Source organism: Homo sapiens, chromosome 20 (genome assembly GCF_000001405.40).
Source record: "Homo sapiens chromosome 20, GRCh38.p14 Primary Assembly".
Classification (NCBI taxonomy): Eukaryota; Metazoa; Chordata; class Mammalia; order Primates; family Hominidae; genus Homo; species Homo sapiens.
Genome location: NC_000020.11, coordinates 62,655,774 through 62,677,715, shown reverse-complemented (window position 1 = coordinate 62,677,715; position 21,942 = coordinate 62,655,774). Strand labels below are relative to the sequence as shown.

Here is a 21,942-nt window from a genome sequence, read left to right as displayed (position 1 = left end):
TCGCCTGCCAGGCTCAAAAAGAGGGTGCACAGACCCCACCTCCAGCAGAGGAAATGGGACATATTGTGGCCGTTGTTGGAAAATATCTGCCTCAGTGGGGTTGGAGTGCAGGTCTCTACGCCCCCTTCCTGCCTCCTGCCATCCTCTGCTCAGTGGGGTTGGAGTGTAGGTCTCAAGCCCCCTTTCTGCCTCCTGCCACCCTAAGGAAGTGAGCAGGGAGGGAGATTGTGGTACATCTGAACATGGGGCCCACACATGCTCTCCTGGCAGAGTTGCAGTTATGGAACAGACACCAGAAAGTTATGGAACAGACACAGATCCCCCAACAGATCTCCATGGTCTACAGGAGTGAAAGCACAGGGCAGGCAGTCAGCGATGAATGCATGGATGGATGTATTTAATAATAGCTTTACTGAGATATAAGTCACATCCCCAAATATTCACCCTTTAAAGTGTACAATTCGGTTTTTTAAGCATGTTCACAGAGTTGTGCAACCATCACCGTTATCTAACTCCAGAACATTTCATCACTGCACCAAAACGCCCTGCACCCATGACAGTCGCTCCCGCCTCACCTTCCCCCAGCCCCTGGCACCACTAGTCCATTTTCTGTCTCTACAGATTTGTCCATTCTGGACATTTCTTACAAAAGAATCACAAAACACGTGGCCTTTTGTGTCTGGCTTCTTTCACTGAGCATGTTTCAAGGTCCATGCGCACCTGCACACCATAGCGCAGGGCTTCATTCTTTCTGATTGACGGCCAAGCAAGACCCACTGTGTGGACAGCCCACGCTGATTTACCTACTCATCAGCCAGTTGACATTCGGGCTGGTGCACTTTTTGACTGTTATGAGCAACATTGCCGTGAACATTTGTATGCATGTCTTTATGTGGACATATGTCTTCATTTCTCTTGGGTAGATACTAGGTGTGGAATTGCTGGGTCATCTGCTAATTCCATGGTTAACTTTTTGATGAACCGCAAAACTGTTTTCCAAAGCGGCTGTGCCATTTTACCGTTTTACATTCCCACCCATAGTGTGTGAGGATTCCAAGTTCTCCACGACGTGTCGTTTTCTGGTTTTGTTTGTTTGTTGCTTTTGTTTTTGATACGGTCAGCGCTGTGGCTTTGGTTTGCACTTCCCTGAGTGGGAAAATCTTGAGCATCTTCTCCTGGGCTCGTTGGCCTTTTCTATGTCTTTTGTGATGAAATAAAAGTCAAATCCTTTGCCCATTTTTAAATTGGATCATCCTTTCATTGTTGGGTTGTAGGAATTCTTCTTATTATTATTTTGAGAAAGAGTCTCACTCTGCCACCCAGGCCAGAGTGCAGTGGCACATTCATGGCTCACGACAGCCTTGACCTCCCAGGCTTAGGCGATCCTCCCACCTCAGCCTCCCAAGTAGCTGGGACTACAGGCGCACGCCACCATGCCCGGCTAATGTTTTGTATTTTTTTTTTACAGAGACAGGGTTTCGCTACGTTGCCCAGTTTGGTCTCAAGCTCCTGGGCTCAAGCGATCTGCTTGCCTCAGCCTCCCAAAGTGCTGGGATTATAGGCGTGCGCTGGCGAGCCGGCCGAATTCAGTGATAATTTTTAAATGCACAGAAGAATAAGAGGAACTGGTCCAACAACCAGAAAATTTGACGTTTCCAGCTGCTCCTGGCGTCTGACTCTTGAAGAACATTTAGTGCACAGCACACAGGAGGCCCCCGCAGCCCTCATCCCAGCAGCCGTGGAAAATCTCTCGAGGGAAAACCAAGTGGGCTTGGAGGACTCCTGCCTGCCTCTCCCTCTCCCAGGATGCATGTCTTTCTCCTCCCCACAGGCAGCCGGGCCCTGTGGCCGGCACCTTCCTGGCTAATCCCAGGGGCTCCTCCCAGGACGTGGGAGGACAGGGGCTGGCTGTGGGAGGCATCCAGGACCCAGGCCAGCATGCAGCCGAGGGCGTATCCAGGGCCCATGTGCCCACCAGGCTGGGTGCGCCCGTGATCCCGGAGAAGCGGGGGGCCTGTGTGGGCATCTGCAGATGCCTTCTGGCCTCTGTGGCAGGGCCAGGAGCCACACGCTCCCTGCACTGAGTCACACAGAGGCTGGGTCATCAGGCCTGGGGGGCTGGGGCCGGGACCAGGCTGCAACCAGACTGCTTCCTCTCTGCCCCTGTGTCCCAACTGTCCCTGTCAGCCATCTGCTCCTGTCTCCTCCCTGGGCCTGAGTCAGAGCCAGGCGGATTGTCAATGGGGAAGGCAAGGGGAGCTTAGATCGAGGCGAGGGCAGCAGAGCTCAAGAGCTGCAGAGACCCCGCAGCTCTTGGGAGCTGCCTGAGGGGTGGCAGAGCCCGCGTGGGTGGCCGGCAGCCCGGGCTGCCCACTGGAGGGGCCCTCCTGGACCTGGGAAGGGAATCTGGGCTTGGTGGCCTCATCCATCACGCACCACGAAGTCTCACTGCCGGCAGGGAGATGGATGCCTTGCAATGCCGATGAGCAGCCCAGCATACACCCAGTCGCTTTGGGGGCCGCTCCCTGGAATACCTGCCCTCCATCCTGGGCGGGAGCCTCCACTGTGTGCCCTGTGCGAACATGCTGGTCCTCTTCCTTCCCTCTCTCTGTCCTCTCTGCAGCTCGGGGCGTTTCTCTTCCTTCCTGGCATCCAGGGTGGGGGCAGGGCATGGAGCGGGACAGTCCTTGGAGCCCCCAGACCGGAGTCGAAACTCTACAGCCTCCGTCAGCTCGGCGGCCATCACAGAACCATAGCTTGGCGGCTCAAACAACGGACGTGCCTTACCCACATTCTGGAGTCCCGAAGCCCACGAGCAAGGCTGGGCTCCCAGGGAGGGTCCTTTCCTTGGTCTGCAGACGGCTGTCTTCTAGTCGTGTCAGCACATAGAGGAGAGAGGAGCTTGGTCTCTTCCTCTGTTACAGGGCTACGAATCCCATCGGGGGGCCACCCTCACCCCCTCATCTCACCCTAGTCACCTCCCTGAGGTCCCAGCTCTTAACACCATCACACTGGGTGCTGGGGCTTCGACCTACGAACTGGGGGATGCTGTCAGTCCACAGCCCCTGCCTCTGCCCATTTGTCACTGTGAGACATCGGGGAACACACAGGGCCGCTCAGACCCTTGGAATCGTCATCTGTGAGTCAGAGACCATCTTGACCACTGGCAGCAGAGAGGGTGCACCACCCTTGGTGGCCAGACCGCGTGTGCCGCCTCCCTCTCATCCCTTCTCCACCCAGTGTCCCTGGGCTCTTCCCCCCTTTCCCTGATGTGAGGACGCAGCCTCTTCCACCTGCTCAGTCCTGAGGTCCCCGGGTTCCATTTGGATCTGCCCAGCCTTCCCGGATGAGCTCCCCTGACCAATCTCAGCTCAGCCCGCAGGCTGACAGCTCCCATGAGTCTCCCCGAGGGCCCCATGGACACCTCCACACGGATGCTCAGTGCCACACGCCTCTGACAGGTGCGGCCAGCTGTGCCCCAACACCCACACTCCGGTACCAGAACACCTCCTTCAGCTGGGAGCACGGCTGGTTCCTGCCTCGCCCACCACTCACTGGGACCACGGGACGTAGCTCTGAGCAGAGGGCTTGAGGGCAGGCATCCGCCGAAATGGTCTCGTGGGACTCTAGGAGGAGATGGCTGGCACCTTCCACCCTGATTCCCTCCTGCCCCAGCCCAGTGGCCAAGTGCCAGCCACTGCCATAGACGAGCCTGGGGGGTGAGGTCCATGCCCATGGAGAACAGGTGAGCGGCAAAGGACTGGCCCTTGTTTTGTGCTGTTGCCCAGTGTGTTGGTTAGCTATGGCTGCAGAACAAACTGCCCCAGAATTTAGTGACTTTTCGCAGCACACGTTGACTATGTCAAAGCCTTTGTGGGTCCAGAATTCAGGCACCACGGAGCTGGGTCTCTGATGTGTCTGCAGTCCAGGTGCTACAGGGTGTCGTCCCCTCTTGGTTGGCTCACGTGGCCCTTGGCAGGATTCCAGTCCTTGAAGGCCAGGGCTGAGCATCCGGTTTCTTGCCGACCGTAGGCAGAGGCCAGTTCCTGGCCATGCGGGGTTCCCGCCAGGGCAGCCCTTGAGAAGAGTGGCGAGAAGGTGGGCTGGGCAGTGTCGTGGTCTCTTATAACCTGGTCAGAAGGTGGGCTGGGCAGTGTCGTGGTCTCTAATAACCCGGTCAGGGATGTGGCATCTGCCCTGTGCTAAGTCCTGCTTGTTGGAAGTGTGTCCCAGTGACACCCGGAGGAGGCAGGTCACTGGAAGCCGGCACTGCCCAGCATGCCCGAGCCTCATCCTGACCCTAGCTCCACCCACCTCTGATGACTCCTGATGAACCGGACTCCTGATGAACATGGCAAAGGTGGGACCTGGTGAGGTTCCTCGTCCTCCCCACTCCCTTCTGAGTGGCGATCCACTTCCCTGGCTCCCCAGAGCCCCTGTACTCCCTCTAGGGTCTGTTCCTGCACTCCCTTCTGTCACCTCCCTCGGGAAGTTTCTCCCTGCACCCCCTGCTCCCCATCATTTCCCAACTTGGCCCTCTGTGCCCCCCCCATGCCCCTCCCTGGCCCAGCAGTCACAGCAGTGAGCTCCACACAAGCGTCCTGGTGAGCCCAGGTCCCCTCTCCTTATGGCTGTGTTTTATCTCCTTACTTAGCAAATCAAAATGTCACCAGCACCGGATTGTACCCTAATTTGGGGGGGATCTTGACCGACGCATTGGGTTTTGAGAACTCCTGGCAGGCGCTGCAGACTGTGAGCACCGGAGGGCGAGGGTGGCGTCCATCCTCAGTGCTGGGGACCACCCGGGGGTTCTGATCTGACCCACCTGAAACTAAGTCCTCAGAGAGGCCCTGGGGCTGCAGGGCTCAGCGAGTGGGAAGGGTTTGGCCATAAGGAGCTCCGGATGGCAGAGGTCTCTTAAGGACACCAGTCCTGTGGGACCTGCACCCACCCTTATGACCCCGCACATAATCATCTCCTAAAGGCCCTGCCTCCAAACACAGCCATCCTGGGGCCGGGGCTTCAACATATGGCTCTGGGGGACGCAAGGCAGTTGATACCAGCTGTTCACCCCATGAATAACGAGGGAAATGTAACGCAAGATGAGGAACAATTTTACTGTGACACGTTTATATAAGAACATATGTACACTCATGTATGTATATTTGTATGTGCAGTCAGCCCTCCGTACCCTCCAGTTCCATCTCCCACAAAAACTGCATTTTCCATCCAAGGTGGGATGAATCCTCAGCAGGGGAGCCTGTGGATAAGGAAGGCCGACTTACGGGGGAGCCTGTGGATAAGGAAGGCCAACTTTTCATATCCACGGATTCCACAGGGCTGACTACAGGACGTGGGCCAAGGATGGCGAGACCACCAAACTCTGCAAACTCATAGAAATAAAGCACGCGGTACGGGGACGCAGGCTTAAATAACAAAATATATTTCGATATGCACAGTTTTAACTGAGGACACACAAGCCTTCCTCAGGCTGCAGGCCCACCGCCCTCCCAGTGGGATTCACAGCCCCTGCGGAGTTTGTCCTCACGCACACCACACACGATCGGGTATAAAACACATTCTATAAACACGTTCTGATGCAAACTGTGTGTCCATAAATATATATTTATGCAAGTTCCTCCCACCCACTGCAGGGCCGTACAGCTCTGGGGACAGGAGGTCACAGCCGACTTTAAACCACAGGTTAAGTAGAAGGTTGCAGGTCAAATAGAAGTTCCCGTGTGATTGCATCACCCAACGGCACTGTTCTGTCATCAGGAAATGCTGAGTGCCCGCCGTGGCCGGGTGGGCGCGGGCGGTGGTCAGACGCTGCTCTGGAGCTGGCTATCTGTGGCACTGTCAGGGGCTGAGGACTGGCTGGGCAGACAAGTTTCCAGGCCATCTGAAGACTCCGACAGGGGCTTGTATAAGAAGCAGGCTATGGCAAAGAAGAGGACGCCCAGCACCTGGGGAGAGAGGAGCCCGCTGGACCTCGTGGGGAGCTCGGCCAGAGCCTTTGGATACTGGTGGGCCTGTCCCAGTCCTGTCCCTGCCCCAGCCTGCAGCACCCTCACCAGGTCCACGGAAACCCATCCTGCTCTGAGAGGGTATCTTTCCCATATAACCGGTTTGTAGAGCAGACGCCAATATTGTTAAAGAGGGAATGAAACACACCCTTTGACTAAAAACAGAGGCACAGGACTGAGGGGCTTGTCATGGGTTGAACAGTGCCAGACACCAGTGAATGGGACCTTTTTTGGAAATAGGGTCTTTGCAGATGTAATTAAGGATTTGAGATGAGACCATCCTGGATCTAAGGTGGGCCCCAAATCCAATGACTGGTGTCCTCATGAGAGAAAGGAGAGGAAGACTTGAGGCAGGGACAGAGGGAAAGGCCACATGCAGCTGCAGAGAGCCAGAGCGGCGGAAGGAGCCCGCCCTGCCCCCACCTGCAAGCGAATCTGGTTCTGCTACATCAGGCCACCCCGCTTGCGGTCCTTTGTCGTGGCGGCCACAGGAACCTCACACAGAGCCAGTCGCCGGTCACCACCACAGCCGGGGTTCAAGCCCCGGTGCCACCATCATGGGCAGTTCTGAACCTTCAGGGTCTTGGTTTCTTTGTCAACAATGAGGGGCTGCACCGACTTTGCAGGGCAAGAGGACGATGTGGCAGGAATCCCACGTGGGCCCCAAAGGCGGTGAGGTCCAAGCACGGATGCTGCCGCAATGCCCACGCAGAGTACATGTGCACCACTATGATTTCCACGCTGGGCGTGGACCAGAAACACCCACTGTGCCTCCTGGAGTGTCAGCCTGGCTGATGGCCCTGAGCCTGCATTCAGGGAGTGAGGCTGTTTTGACTCGGTGCAGGACAAAGTGGAATGCGAGGGTGTTTATAAGGAGACACCGTGTGCTCCCCCGCTACAATTAACATGGACGCATGCGCTGCTGAGGCCAACTCTGACCCTCTGGATACGGCTCCCGCTGGCTGTGCTGAGCCCAGGGGATGGCTGCGTGTGGAGGGCTCTCAGCCTGCTGCTCCCAGCTAAGGGATGCATCCAACACAGCAAAGAGAGAGTCTGGGGACGGCTCCCTGGGAAAGTACAGCAGCCCCCTCATCCGCAGACACTGAGACCCCTGTGGACGCGTGAGTCTAAGGGTAGTACTAAGCCCAGCCAAGGAACTACACCTTCTCGCTGAAGGAGGCGCCTCCGGCTTCCCATTGGCAGAGCTGAACGGCGGCGTGAGTGCTCCGGTGCTTTGGGGCCATGATTAGGTAAATAAGAGTGGCTTGAACATGGCACTGTGATATGGTGATGGGGGATGTGGGAACCACACCGGCTGCTAAGTGATCAACAGGTGGTGGCATGAATAGCCTGGACACGCTGGACAAAGGTTATGTCTTATGAAGTCAAATGGTCAATTTCCTGATGCTCATGTGCCTTTGGGCTTCCCCAAACACCACCACTCCCTGAGCAGAGACGCGCCTAACAGAGAGTCAACCGTTATTTTATGCCAAAGCGAAAGGCGTATCACAGAGGGCTTGGGCCTTAGTATCCAATATCCCCAAAGCTCCCTGCAGAATAAGTTCTGACCTTGCCTTCTTCCAAAGTTGGACAAAGGGAGAATCCGAGTCCTGGGCAGGACAGATCAAGATCTCACCAGACTGTGCAGAACGGCGCGTGCTTTAAAGGTTATGAACTGTTTGCTTCTGGAATTTCCTATTTAATACATTCAGACTGTGGTGGACCTCTGGTAACTGAAACTGTGGAAAGTGAAACCTCAGATGAGGGGGAAACCGAGGTGTATGTCTCCTTAACCCACTGCTTCTCTCCAGAGCCACACAAGGCCCTGCTCAGACTCGCCTCTTTTCTGCTAATCCGAGGGGAGGTGAACCAGCTGGGCTCCTTCCCTTTCTCTAACCTCCCTCCTGGAAAGCCTGAGGCCACGGGTTCCTGCAGGATGAACTCTCCTGGGTCCGTCACCCAAGGAAGAGCGTCAAGATCCTCTGAACAGCTGGCCGTGGGACCGCATTTTATTTAGAAGGCTTTGTGCTTTATCGTCTAATGGGGGCAAATTCCAAACACAAATACTGCGTTTCCTCCCAGGTAGCATACGCCAAAAGTCACAACAGAAAGTTTCTGTTAGCTTGAAAAATGAGGGCCAGACTAAGAGATCCAATGGAATCCAAGGCGCACTGATCACGGAGAGGCTGCAACCTGCCCGCCAGCCCCCCAGACTGAGGCCCGGAGTGGACCAGCTAGTCAAGCCGCTCTAACAGGAGCAGCCACTTCTTATTTCTGCAAAGCTTTTAGTTAACGGGCATCCCGGGTACGTGCAAGACCACACTGTGGAGGGGCAGTCCCAGGAGGTGGGAGAGGGAGCAGGGCCTGGGCCTGGGCTTTGCTGGAGCTGCTGGGGGCCTGGACAGTGAACCCCAGGAGGAGGCCCTGCAGCCCACCTGCCTCTCCCCACAACCAACTCATGAGGAATGTGGGAAGGGCCTTCTACAAACTGGCTGCAGGAACATCTGTGATGTACTAGGCTGTGGTCCAAGCTGCTGGAAGATCGCGGCATGTTCGGAGCCCCCAGCCACCCTCAGAGCAGACCCTCTGTCCCCTCCCTGGGCCTGCTTACCTTGTACAGGAGCCCCATGATGAGTATGTAGCGGCTCATGGCCGAATTCTGGTACACCAAGCAGGAGCCCTGCTGGCCACACTGGTCCTGCCACAGCAGACAGGCCTTGTCGATCACCCAGCCGAAGGCGATGGGCCCCGGGATGCCCCCTGCGGAGAGAAGCCCACTCAGCACCCACACTCCTGGTGGGTAGGGGCTAGGCAGGGGGCAGGCAGCCAAGAGGCCTGGAATGATGGGCTCTGGGAAGGTGATACTGGCCGTTGGAGTTCTCAGGGGGTGCAAAGAGGGCTTAAACGTTCCTTTCTTTGGGCATTCGGCATTGGGGCTGCGAGTTTCCCATGATCTCCCAGGGAAAGCCTTTGGGCAAATAAATGACGATGGGCCCCTCTAGTGGACAGTTAGGGAATGGACCCCTTCCCAGGCGGGAACAGCCTCCTGCTGGGAAGCACATCCCCTTGGTGGTTAGACACTTGCCCATGCCCTTGTGCAGTGAGCACACTGTGCAACTGACCATGGCTTCCTCACACTGCACAGTACCTAGTATTCTAACTACAATCCACTGGATTCCCAGGGCAAAGGATCTCTGAGGGTCACGGACACATCTGCAATAGAAAACCACAGCGTCAGCACCCACAGAAGTGGGGTTGCATGCCAAGTCACCCCCTAGGCCAGTGGCCTCCTGGACCAGTCCCCAGCCACATCATCACCCCCCCCCAAGTGGGAAGCCCCTCGTCAGAGATCAGAGACAGTGAGGTCTCTCCTGCCACCAGTGACAGACAGGCCCGCTTAGACCTGGGTGTTTCCTGGAGTGCTCCTGTCTCAGGATCTGCAGAGCTCCGCCTCAGGGTGCTGCAAGGAAAGCTCTGGACAAGCGCACACCCGACCCCAGCTTACCGTAGAGTTGCCGTTAGTGCAGGAATGCTGCTGAGGAATGTAAAGAAAATTACAACGAATATGAAAACCAGAAGGAGGGGCTTTCTCTGACAAGTTGAAGTGCATTTCCCTGCAGTGGCATGGCCAAAACCAGAGGAAAGATTCTGAGGGATACAGCTACAGTCTCGGTACACCTGGGAAGCCCAACAATAGCTCCGATTACAAGGGGAAGGCACGGGGGCCCCTTCCCAGGGTCCAGGGGAGGACAGGGGCGGTAGGCAGCGGCTCCACTCACCTTCTGGCCGTCCACATTCGTCTCCGTGGCTGCAGGGCACCCTGCGTGGCACAGTGAGAAGTACATGAGGCCGTCCGAGCCGCACACAGGGCTGTAGTGTTCTGGCTGGCAGCTGCAGGCAGCGTTGCAGGGAGCCGTTAGGTTCAGGTGGCCTTCGGGCAGGAGGCTGCAGAGGGGGGACAAGCGAGTGGTAGGGTCCAGGCCAGAGCCATGCTGGCGCCCAGCAGGCACAGGGTCAGCCATGGGGCTCGTCCCCATGCAGCCTGCATTTCGGGTCTACAAACTTGCCAAGCTTGCACCGCCCCCAGCACGCTGGGCACTCACACTGGGCACTGCCTTCTGGTGATAGAATGGTTTTTCCTCCTCACGCAAGGAAGGCACACCCATGCCCCCCAGCACCGTCCGCCTGATGCACAGCCCCTTTCCCTAGTTCATTTGTTTTTGGACAGGCAACACATTCATATGGATCAAATACAAACATTAGGAAAGAAAAAGCGCCAAGTACACAAAGGCAGCCTCGTGGCCCCAGCCCCACCCCAGTCCTCGGTTCTCCAGCCACAGGCCGGCTGTGCATTTGCAGGGGTCGTCTGCACGTACACGCCCCTCGGCAGTCACAAACATCTGCACTTCTCACTTGAATCAGAGCACACTGCGCCCATTGTCCAACTCCTTCCTTTTTCCCACTTCACAGTATGTCTTGGCAGTGGCCCAGGATGAGCTTCCTCCACTCCTTTGTGGGCAGGGCCTCTGTTGTGAGGACAGCGTAGTGACCCCGTCCACCCTGATGACTCTTAGGTTCCGATAATGCCACAACGGCTGCTTTGTGCTTCTCGGCCTTGCACGGCACCTGCAGGTGCACTCCCGGGGCCCGCAGGGCAGGGCCGAGGTGCAGGCTACCTACGTGTATTTTGGATATTCCCTAATTGCCACCTGACCAGCAGGTGTCCCTCCCACTCCCAGCACATGGCAACTCCAGGAGCACATCCTGGGACACTTTTTATGTCACCGAGAGACCAGCCTCAAGGACCCCGAACACTAGGGCTGTTGTTCCATTTGACACAGCTACAGAGCAGAGTGCTGAGGCCCAGAGAGGCATATGACTGCCCGGGGGCACAGCCGGGACCCAAGCGCAGGCACTGCTGGGGGCTGGCATGGTGCCTTTTCACGTGGATGCTGCCGGGTGCCCTGCTGAGCGGGTGTTGCCCTTGCCGCTGTCCTGTGACGTAGCCCTTTTCAAAACCACCTCTCCCAAGTGCTGCACCACTCCTCCTCCATGCCCAGGGACCGCGGGTGCTTGGGGCCCCGACGCGTACCCAGGTGCCATCTGGCCCTCACCTCCCGCCGTAGCTGGCTGTGACGCCCGCCATGGGCACACTGGGGCAGTGCAGTGAGAAGACGAGGATGCCCAGCAGGCTGACAACGGTGCAGAACAGGCAGAACTTGATGACCGCGGAGCCCCGGAGCCTGAGCTTGTTCACAAAGAAGCCGCCCAGGAAGGTGCCGCCACCACCCGCTGGCACCACCAGGTACCCTGGGGAGAGGGAGGGATTCAGCCAGGGACTCAGGCAGGGGGCCGTGGTGGGAGAGGGTGGTGGATCAGCCGGGTCCACTTTACAGGTGGGGAAACTGAGGCATAGAGGGATCAATTCCTGCCTGCATGGCAGCACTCAACACCACACCTGAGTGCTTAGCTGTTGCGCTGATAGAGCCCTAGGAGGGACCTCTGTCCAGAGCCCACAGCGGGGATGCCTCAGAGGGGAAGGGGAAGGGGAAGGGGAAGGGGAAGGGGGAGCGGGGGGGCGGGGCGGGGCGGGGGGAGGAGGAGAGCCCAGAGTGCTCCAAGGTCAGCGGCCCCTGCCCCAGTGGGAAGCCAATGACTCCTCCACTGACCCCCCTCCAGGGCAGCCACACCCCCTCCTCCCCCAGGGGCCTCTGCCGAGTCCCTGCAGGCTGTGACAAGGACATTTGTCGAAGCCTGAGTGGCCACCAACAGTAAAAAATTGCGATTAGCTGGCATCTAGCTTCTGGGCTGACAAGTGAGGAGGGCACAGGTGAGGGGACAGGTGGAGAGGGGACAGGTTTGGGGGGACAGGTGGGGAGGGGACAGATTTGGGGGGACAGGTGGGGAGGCTCTCCAAGGGGCAGTAGAGCTGACCTCTGGGGGGCTGTTGAGTGTGGGAATGTGGGCTTGTGAGGTCAGCCCAGAGGGGCCAGGCCAGGATGGGCCTGTGGGGGAGGGAGGGGAGCCCTCATCTGATGCCCTCTTCCTGTCCAGATAGTGGACCCTGGAAGGGTAGAGCGCGGTAGATTGGCGGTGGTGGCCCACATGCCTGGCACCTCTGCCATGGCCCAGGGTACTCTGTGAACGCTGGCAGGAGGAGCAGCTCTGAGGAGGGGTCCCCACTTTCTGCAGACCTGCCCAGCCTGGGAAGGCCAGCCTGCCTCTGGCACCGAGAAACCCCCAGCTGCACTGTTCCAGGAGGTCCTGAGGCACCAGTGCCTGGCTCATGGAACAGCCAGGTCCAAACCCTTCCTGCACCAAGTCACAGAAGCCAAGACTAGGTGGCTAGGGGGTGGAGCCCACCGTGGACCCTTCCACCTACGGAGCATGTCCCACAAAGAGGGCAGGACCACCACTCTCCCGGCCTGTGGACAGAGTCGCTCAGCCCCCGTGGCGCTCTCCACACCTGCTCTGGCAGCGGGGGTGGGAGGGCACTCACTGCCATGTGCCCTGTCTGGGTCTTTCTAGAAGATGCCCTTGAAGACTCTGTTTCTGAGAACTGACATAAAAGCAGAGGACCCCCAAGATTCAGTTTTCTCACCAAACAAGGTGGCAGCTTCTGAGGCACTCAGGCTGAACTGGGACTCCAAGAACTTGGGGCTGAACGTGGACATGCCGGTGATGAGAGTGGCCTCGGTGGCCCCGGCCAGGCAGAGCAGGATGAACGTGGGGTTCTTCAGCAGGAGCCAGATGGAGCTGGGCAGAGGTGGGGGTGTGGAGAAGAGACTGAGGGTCAGAGTGGTGGGCAGAGGTCGGGGTGTGGAGAAGAGACTGAGGGTCAGAGTGGTGGGCAGAGGTCGGGGTGTGGAGAAGAGACTGAGGGTCAGAGTGGGCCAGACCCAGGGTGGGAGGAACCTGCTGTTCCTGAGGCTGTCAGCTCCCCGGTCTGATTACAAAGGGCCCCTGTTCCGACAGGGAGTAGAGTGGGGTGCAGGCAGGTGGGGGACACCCACACTTATTCCAGAGAAACCCAGGGGGCGCCAGGCTGAGCCTATGCCTGTGGCCCACTTGTCCTGAAAGCTGCAGTCCCTGATTAGGGAAAAACCTTATCAGTGCCTTGGCCAGAGCTTCAGCTCAGGTGGGGAGAGACCCCAAGTGACCCAGGACCCTGTTCCGTCACTGGCCAGCAGCAGGGCCTGAAAAAGGGAACTGGCTGGGGCAGGCAGAGGCCACCAAGTCCAGGACCGGACAGGCCCTGGGATAGGGGAATGGAATCACGGGAATGGGGACTGTGGCCAGTCCCCAACCGCCAGCCCCTGGGAGAAGTGGGGCAGGAAGCCACTGGGATTCGAACCCTCCATGCAAGAAGCCCCTGGGTAGACGGACCTGGCTAGCTTGGTTTGCACTTGGGGGCCAGTGGCCCTGGGGGTGGTGAGGCCTCAACTGGGGCGAGTCCTTGGTGCATGGGCCTGGAGCCCTGGGGGGAACTGTGGGAACTCTGAGCCGTCTGGCCCTGAGGGCTCAGCCTCAGCCTCCACATCTGCCTGTTGCGGTCCTGGCTGTGGGGTCTCAGGATAAGGACATAGCCCCCTGGAAGCTGGGAAGGCCCCACATCAGGCCTTGCAGTTTCTAACCCAGGAGGTGGCCGACAGCAGTGCGTCGGGGCTGCCTGTCCCTGCACACGAGGCCCTGGGGGGTGAATGGAGGCTCTCCCTGTTTTTGTTAGCATTGGAGGCCTGAGCAGGGCTAACGCCCAACCGCTGCTTAAGCGCATAAGATGCTGAGATGGAAAACGTGTTGCATGGTGTAAACCACGCAAAGCCCTCCCAGCCAGTGCAGTGATCGAGGCAGACAGAAGGGAAACCGCCTCTGCAAAGAGAGGCTCGGCTCTCTCTGGGGTACACAGATCACCCAGACTGGGCAAAGCTCACATTCATCCCAGCTCACAGCTGCCTGCATCCTGTTCACAGCACGCTCCTGTGCGTGACCCTTCTCCCCCACTGAGTGGGGGGCTCTCGGCCTCAGGTGGGGGTGTTTGCAGACACAGCTATTGTCCTGTCCCTGGAACTCATAACATAGACCAGGGGCAGAGACTGTTCCTGAAGCCCCAGGTCATGGCACAATAGCCTCTCACATCAGCCCACAGTAATGCAAATTTTCACAATAAATGACATGTCCATGTCGCCTCTGCTCACACCGCAGTGTCGCTGACTTGAACCCCTGCGTCTGCAGCTTAGTGACATCCTGTAAACCTACACTTTCCAGCCTCTCACCAGAGCAGACTGTCGGCCTCACATCACCCCCACCTGCAGGAGGGCGGCTCTTTCCTCTCGGCCACACCTAGAGCCTGGTTCCGATGAACGCAACTCTGAATGCCTGGAACATTCAAATGCTCTTGTTTGAGGAGGTGGCCAAATGTAAATGGATTCTGAAGAATCAGGAACAGACGGTGCAGCCCTAGTTAGCCTCTGAGCCCCAACAGGCCCACAGGTGCCTTGCAGAGCTGATGTTGGCGTCAGAAACTCCGCTCCAGCCTCACAGGCACTCTGCCTGCTTGGAGGTGTTCGCTGGCTCGCTCAGACTGACCTCAGCAGCCATGAACATGGGTTCTTTCTGTCCCCTTCCCTGATTAAAATGGGAGAGCCCAGTTCTTTCAAAATTTATTTCCTGACTTGAGGATTGAAAAGCCTCTTCTTTCTGGTTAACTACTTGGGTCCCACGTCTTGAAAAAGGCAAGACGATGGAGGACAAAGGAGACCCCAGCCCATGCCCTCCCTTCCCCAGCCAGTTCTGGCATGTGGGGTGACAGACCTGGGGTGGGCACCCTGGGGGGGGTCCCGGCGTGTGGGGGGATGGGGCTGGGGTGGGCACCCTGGGGGGGTTCTGGCGTGTGGTGTGACGGGGCTGGAGTGGGCACCCTGGGGGGGTCCTGGCATATGGGGGGATGGGGCTGGGGTGGGCACCCTGGGGGAGTCCCTCCCTGGGGCTTTTCCCAGACCTGCCCAGGCTCCGGGGTGTGTGGCTGCGTTAGGAGGCCCTGACTCTCTGAAATGCTATGCAAACTTCATTTCTTAATCACTGATTGCTCGGCTGAAATTCTCGTGTTGAATTTGCCCAGAGAATTAGTCATGACTTTAATAAAGGGAACATGTCCCATGATTTATTTCTTCCCAGCAACTGGTTTAGGGAACTAACCCTGGACATAAACCTCCTTATCACCTGATGAACTGAAAGAGCCCCAGGGTTCCTAGGTCCACACTGGGGGCTCACAGCCACGCTGGGAACAGGGCGCCTGACCCTCAGCTCTAAGCCGCTCTGCTGCTGGGTGGAGGAGAGAGGGTGAGCCAGTGCCTACACGATGTTCCCAAGTCCTGGGAACGTGGCCCCGGGTCAGCTTGGCCCATGGGGTCACCCTCCTTAGCAGGCAGCTCCCAGCTCCTTTGGGGGGTCTATCAGGGTCCTAATGAGGCCTCTCTTTCCCATCTTCATCCAGCCCTGCTCCTCTCTGCCGTGGACAGCTTGGGGCTTTCTGAGGGGCCACCTTTGGCCCTGATGCCTTCCCTCCTATCCTGGTTGAGGGCAGGCAGCAGGGACTCACCCATTGCCCACACCCTCCACCCACTATGGCCAGTGAGACACAGCCATTTGTGAGCTCAGGGACCTGCTGCTACAAGGGCACAAGAGTCTCCCCGTGCTGGGGCCTCAGACGCTGAGGACTTGGGTGGTGGCCACCCTGAGGGCCACCTGTGCCCAGCCCTGGGGAGAGCCCCCCAGGGAAGGCATGATCCCCAGGAGAGGCCGGGAGGGCCCGGGCCCCTCTGTTGTCCCTCTAGGACCCCACCGGCTCAGGGCCCCGGGTTCACCCTAGCAGTGCAGCAAGACAGCAAAGCAAGGCCGGACCACACTCAGCAGAAAGGGAAGGCAGCCAAGGCAGACGGCAAAGCAAGCAACCTCCCCAGAGGGTGAGCGGGACACGCCGGGTAGAGGGGGGAGGTCCTCAGAGACTCTGAGGGAGGGAGGGAGATGGGGGGGCAGCATCCCAGGGCCCGGGGGGTACGGCACAGGTGACACCTGATGAAAGGGAATTAGAGTGTGGGGGGTCATGGTGAGGGAAGGGTCTCAAGTCAAATGCAGCTTCCCTGGGGACCCCGGGACACACAGGCCACGGGGAGACTTGCTGGTGTGGAAGGGATTTGCTCCGTGGCCACTGGGAGCCAGGCGCAGCCCACAGGAGTCTCCACACTGTATGAGTGAAGTGATGGCTCCCTGGGTGCGGGCCGAGGCCCCGGCCCCACTCTGGGACTCTCCCACGGCTCTGCAGCCCTGAGGCGGGGTCTGCGGCCCCTGGCCCAGAGGCTCTATCTGTTGCTCCTTAATCTCTTGGCCCAGGGTCACGACAGAGGTTAGGGGCTGCGTCCCCATCATGATCCCGGAGGGGTCTCAACGACTCCCCCAAGATGGGGACCATTAAAGGGTCTGAGGACACTAGGAACCCTCCCGACTCCGGTCCTTACAGAGGCAGGTCTCTGATGGTTTTCCCAAAGTCCGGGTTGCTCGCCTCCCCACGGCTGCTGTCCTTCAACTGGTGCATTTCCGCCGCTCTCATGACCGCGTAGCGCTGGGAGCCTGGAAGGGCACAGAGTGAGCTGGGGCTGGGGGCTGGGGGCTCCCGGAGGTGGACTTCTCCGAGAGAGGCTCTGCCCCCACTCCTCTGCCCCTCCCCGGTCTGGGAACGTCACTGTCTGACATCCCTGCAGCCCTCGCAGCCCCGGGGAGGCGGCACTGGAACAGAAACCACGTGAGAATGCAGCACAAGCCGGGTTTGGAGGTGTGGGAGAGCTGGGGCCCAAAGTGGGGCTGGGGGAAGGAGGGGATGGAGGCCCTGCCCTGATTGGGACAAGCCTGTTCCGTGGCCTGAGGGGGAGAAGCCGCTGGGGCAGAGGGGAGGCCACAGGACAGGATGGACACACAACCTGCCTTGTGCCACAGCCAGGAGGCGTCTCTCCACCCAGATGGGAAGAACACTGAGAATGAGGGTGTGCCGCAGACTTGATCATGGCGGGGAAAAAGACAGCAGAGGAAACGGGGTGCCCCCTTCGCGAAGACTAAGGGACAGTCTCCCAATGTGAAGGCTGGGCTGGGGAAGGGAAACCCACCTGGCAGCTGCCGAGGGTAACCAAGGATGGGAACGGCGGTGAAGAAAGCAGCGGCCCCAGAGCCCAGGAAGCCGACCCACCAGGCGCCGACCCACAGTGGGCTCTCGGTGGTCAGCTCCGTCCTGTGGAAGAGGCAGTGGCACCTGGGTCAGCGTGCAGCCCACCTGTGCCCTCCATGGCACACACACTGGGGGCTGCTGGCCCCTCCTCCGGGCAGACCTCCAGGGTCTGTCTGCACGCTGGTCAACACAGGCCCCTGGTGCTGCTGGCCACAGGTCCTGTCCCTTCCTTGCAGACTAAAGCAAACACCACCTTGGCTTAGCTGTCCCCCAAGACAGATGGCTCCATGCCTTGGCCCACGCTCCAGGGCTGGAGATGCCACCTGTGGCCTGGTCCTGAGACCACGGTGGGGTTGGGCACTAAGAGGAGCAGCCTCTCCAGGCAACAGCGGGAGGAGGCATCCCTCCCCACAGTGCAGAGGATGACAGATGGGGTTCCCAGGGACGCCAGAGGGCTCAGCTGGAGCTCACTGAGAGCTCCCCACGAAGGGACTGTTGTGCACGTGGCAATTTGCACATAAGTGCTTTCAAACGAAAAGGCGAGTGGAAAATAACCATGGGCTGAGGCGGCCGTGGAGTGGTAGAAGCCCATCCAAGCTCTGGGCATCCAGGGACGCGTCTTCACAGTGAGGACAAGCTCTGGGCTTTCGGGGATGTGTCTTCACAGTGAGGCAGCGGCGGGAGGGCAAAAGGCCAGCAAAGGCCGGGAGCAGAGCCGCAGAGACAGACAGAGGACACAGGGAGCGCCAACACCCTGCAAGGCTGCAGCCAGGCGGCACCTGCTTGCTCCAGCGCAGAAATGCTGCGGCCGCCTCCGGGGGCCAGACCCCGCTCTGCCTCCCCACTTTGTGCAAAGTGGGCCCAGATCCCGGAGCCAGAAGGGGCACAGAGACTGAGAGAAGCATCCAGACCCGGGACACGAGCTCCAGCCTACCTCCAGGCTCTGCCCAGAACGCACACACTTGACCCCACATTATCAATCCGAGGCCAGAGGGGCTTTTGTAAGAGGTCAGAGTGCTAGAGACCTCCAGGAGAGGCGCCATCTGCAGAAAGAGTCCCAAGGTGCAGCGGTGCCCAGGCCGAGTAACAGAGGACCTTGGAAACTTCACAAGTGCAGGATGGGCAAGGGATGAATGGGGGGCCCAAACCCACAGAGCACTGGCGGTCAGCAAGGACATGTCTCCTCTGCCTCCCCATCTCCATCTGTCTCTGTCTCTCTCTGCCTGTCGCTGTCTTCTTTCTGTCCCTCTGTATCTCTATCTCCATCTGTCTCTGTGAATTGGTCTGTCTCTACGTGTCTTTCCCTCTGTCTCTCTCTGCCTCTCCCTCCACCCCTCCTTGCTTTCTCCTGCTTACATTTACAGAAACTAGGGTCACACACACAAGATACAAAGAAAGGAAAAGAAACAGAAAAATCTCAGTTTCATTAGGGAACTAGTGGCCAGGGCTCGCTGGGCTTTGCAAGCGCTTAGGCCTCGGGCACTGCCTGCCTGCCCTGCCTCCTGCCCTGGGGCCGACTCCCAAGGCCCCTACAGATCCTCCGAGTCCTCCAGAGCCAAGGCCAGCCTTGACTCCCTCCAGCCCGGGGGGTGCCCAGCACCTGCGCCGCGCCCGGCCTGACTCAGAGTGGGCCCTGCTGACTCTGAACCCCCTTCCAGAGACACGTGGGCCTCTCCAGCGCAGGCAGCTGGGTGCGCGGCCACTCACCGTCGGCCCATTTCCGTGTAGATATTCAGCAGGGCACCTCCAATCAGGTAGCCGGCAGCTGGGCCCAGGATGGCCGCTGTGTAGAAGATGGCTGCGAGAGAGGCAGAGGCGTCAGGGCCGCTGTGCACCACCCAGGGGCTGCGGAGGGCCGTGTGGGGCCCCGTGCCTGGGAGAAGCCCCGCACCCGCCATTCTGCATCTCCGGCCCACTCCCCTCATGGGCCTCTTTAAGTTAGATGAGTCTGTGCAGTTGCCACTGGGCCTGATATGGGTCAGCATCAATCTTTAAAAATCCCCCTCAAAGCCAAGTGCACTGTCTTTCCCTTACGAAAGGGCAAAGGCCCTCGAAGCCCCGTTTGCAGGGCGTCTAAGTAGCCGCACAGATGGACACTGGCAGGAATTAGGGGCCCAGGGTGGGGAAAGGGACCAGAGAGGCCTGAGCCCCTCCGCCCAGCCACGCTCACTCTCCCACAGGCCGGGATTTGGAAGGCTCGGTGTGGTGGGACGTCCCCTCGCTGGAGTGAGGTGATCTCAACACCCGCCTGGGTTCTTGGGACGAGCACTGCCAGGTGACTGGGATGAGCAGAGCTCAAGGAGGACATGAGGAGGCTGAGGTCACTGCAGAGTCCGGCTGGGGCCAGCTGCTCCCCGTGACCATCCTACGATGCCCTTCCCGGGAGAGCCAAGCCAGGCAGGGGGACGCCGAGAAGTGGGGTCAGGCGGGCCGTGCACTGGGTCAACTCGGCCATGTCGGACGGGCCATGGGGCTTCCCTACATCTCAACAAACAGGAGCAGGAAGCCAGTGAGGGGCCCAGGGCTGCCCCAGGGCAGTGAGCTCAGCTGCCTAGCATAGAGTTATAACATAGATCTTTACTCTTAGATAGCTGTGAAGCAGCCATGAGCTGCTTCATGTTATTTTTCCCCTTAAAGTTCTGACTCTCCAGATTTGCTCGGTCTTTTCCACACCCCTATGTGGCTGCCGGAGCAGACACGGTGCTTACGGGCAGACGTGGGTGTGGTCTCAGGGCTCTGTCCCTCCACCTCTATGTGGCTGATGGAGCCAACATGGTGCTTTCAGGGAAACATGGGTGTGGCCTTGGGGCTCTGTCCCTCGTCACTTATCCCACATCAAACTCCTTCCCAGGCAAGTGCCAGGTTCCCAGCCGGAGCATGAGGTCTGCCGCCATTGGACCTGGTGCCACCCAGCGCCTAGTGACTGTGCCCCTTGGTCCTGGCAAGGTGGGCTGGACACCACGCAGGGGTTGCACTGAGGCTCCCGGGCACAGCGGCCTGGAGCCCTGAGCAGGGTCCACATGAGAAAGCCGGAGTCCCTTACATCAGCTTTGGGCCTCAGGGCGGACCCTCCTCCCCTGCCAACTCTTGCAGCAGCCCCAGGGCCATGCAGACAAGGGGTACACGAAGGCAGGGGGCGGGGCTGGCTCCGGCCAGTTACCCTCACTCCTGCAACACTGCCCTCAGCCACCCCTGCCAGCACTTACCCCGCCAGCCCCACTCACCAATGTAGACGGGCGAGCAGCTGGACTTGACGTTCTCATCCAGGTAGGTGACGCCCAGCGTGTAGAGGGGTGTGGCACCCACGCCATGCAGGAACTGGCCCAGCATGAAGACCAGCTGGTAGCGGGACAGGCCCGAGGTGCTGTCCGCACACACCGCGCCGGGGTTGGCAGGGCACGTCCTGACACCCGCGTCCAACTCCACCTCATAGCGGCCAGCCGTGAAGTGGGGCAGCGCGAACACCAGCGACCCCGTGCCCATAAGCAGCACGCCCCAGCCCAGCCAGCGCGGCTTGTGCCCTGAGCCCCCGAAGTAGCTGACGAAGGTGAGGCAGAGGCAGGCGGCAATGTCGTAGGAGCTGGCGATGAGCCCGCTCTGGTAGCTGTGCAGGTCATAGCGGCGCTCCAGGGAGGTGATGACTGTGTTGATGAAGCCATTCACAGTCATCCCCTGCAGGAATGCGGCCGCACACAGGAAGAACAGGATGCCCTTGGGCGTGTTGAGGACCTGCAGGCACGGCGGTGCGAAGGCCCACCAGCCGCACGCCACGCTCTGCCCGGCCGAGACGTACCGCACCTCATGGGTCCCCCGGGCGCCATGCTTCTCGGCCCAGAGCTGGCAGAGGGGCTGCTTGCTGGTGTCCAGGGGGCTATGGGCAGCGGAGCGGAGGGAGCCGGGGCTCAGGGGTGTGCCCGGGGATGCCCTCCTGCTGGGTGGGGTGTGGTCAAGCCCGTTTTCCATGGCTGAGTTGGGGCTGGGGAAGGTGAGCGGCTTGTCCCCCAGCTGATGCAGGGGCATCTCCGCGCCTCCGCCTGGTGACCTCGAGGCTTCAGCCACGCAGTGGGAGTGGCCTCAGCGGGAGTGGCCAAGTGGTATCCGAGGGGCTGGTGTGTCCTGTGAGAAGAATGTCTGGTTAGCAAGCTCACGTCTCTCCACGGGTACAGCACATCCAGGAGGGAACATTCCAGCACACCCATCACGGGGGTGGCTCAAAGCTCTGCCTGCCTTGTCTCAAGAGCCTCCCAAATCCAGGGTGGCGTCTGGCCAGGCCCACACCCAGGCACTGTGTCTCCCAGCCACAGCTCCGCTGCGGAAAGGTGGGGGGCTGTGCCCAGCTTGCTCACAGGGACTCAATTCCTGCCCTTTTTAGAACTGTTGGAAGGAGAAGCTGCCGCTTCAGCGGTGTGGCGTCAGGGCTGTGACGGGGGCAAGGCCTACTGAGATGGGGCCACGCGGTGGAGAGTGGAGCTGAGACGCAGAGGCCGAGTCAGACACTGGGGTCCCAGGTCACCCCGCCCTGGCCCCGCTCGCTGTGTCAGCCACGTCCCCTGCCATTTGCAGCCAAGTGGCCCTGATGGACTCCACCTTGGTCCTGGAGCCTGACCTTGTTCTTCCTTAAGTTCACACCCGGCAGCTCTCTGCACCCTTTGGCGTGAGGAAGGAGCTCCTCTCCGTGCAGAGTTTGGGAGGTGCAGGAAT

At 59.4% G+C, this 21,942-nt stretch overlaps 1 protein-coding gene and 1 long non-coding RNA gene across 8 annotated transcripts in view, besides 1 other annotated feature; one reads left to right on the top strand and one right to left on the bottom strand.

Annotated features, from left to right (window-relative positions):
- The window catches only part of SLCO4A1 (solute carrier organic anion transporter family member 4A1), a 48,238-nt gene that overhangs the window by 13,025 nt on the left and 13,271 nt on the right, over positions 1-21,942 (bottom strand). For 2 of the 7 annotated variants that reach the window (XR_001754251.3, XM_005260203.4), the window contains exons 2-11: positions 20,466-21,357; positions 18,949-19,039; positions 17,183-17,304; positions 16,541-16,652; positions 12,628-12,782; positions 11,141-11,336; positions 9,806-9,971; positions 9,532-9,704; positions 9,175-9,239; positions 8,638-8,786 (exon numbers count right to left, since the gene is read on the bottom strand). Coding sequence is in view for 5 of the 7 variants with exons in the window: in XM_005260203.4 (XP_005260260.1) it covers positions 8,638-8,786; positions 9,175-9,239; positions 9,532-9,704; positions 9,806-9,971; positions 11,141-11,336; positions 12,628-12,782; positions 16,541-16,652; positions 17,183-17,304; positions 18,949-19,039; positions 20,466-21,261 (2,025 nt within the window). In the remaining 2 variants the exon portion in view is untranslated. Of the gene's footprint in view, positions 1-376; positions 5,261-5,422; positions 7,766-8,637; positions 8,787-9,174; positions 9,240-9,531; positions 9,705-9,805; positions 9,972-11,140; positions 11,337-12,627; positions 12,783-16,540; positions 16,653-17,182; positions 17,305-18,948; positions 19,040-20,465; positions 21,358-21,942 lie in introns of those variants that run through there. The other 5 variants (XM_011528792.4, XM_017027827.3, NM_016354.4 and 2 more) reach the window with 5 other exon arrangements.
- Positions 5,375-6,333: an enhancer, noted in NCBI's record as "H3K4me1 hESC enhancer chr20:61302735-61303693 (GRCh37/hg19 assembly coordinates)". NCBI's record gives its function as "activates a minimal SCP1, AML or CMV promoter by ChIP-STARR-seq in naive H9 embryonic stem cells {active_cell/tissue: H9 hESC(naive)}" and the evidence as "EXISTENCE:reporter gene assay evidence [ECO:0000049][PMID:30033119]".
- SLCO4A1-AS1 (SLCO4A1 antisense RNA 1) lies at positions 11,095-14,689 on the top strand. The gene is made up of 4 exons (NR_024470.1): positions 11,095-11,331; positions 11,706-11,856; positions 12,219-12,792; positions 14,229-14,689. It is a non-coding gene; the product is annotated as an SLCO4A1 antisense RNA 1 (long non-coding RNA).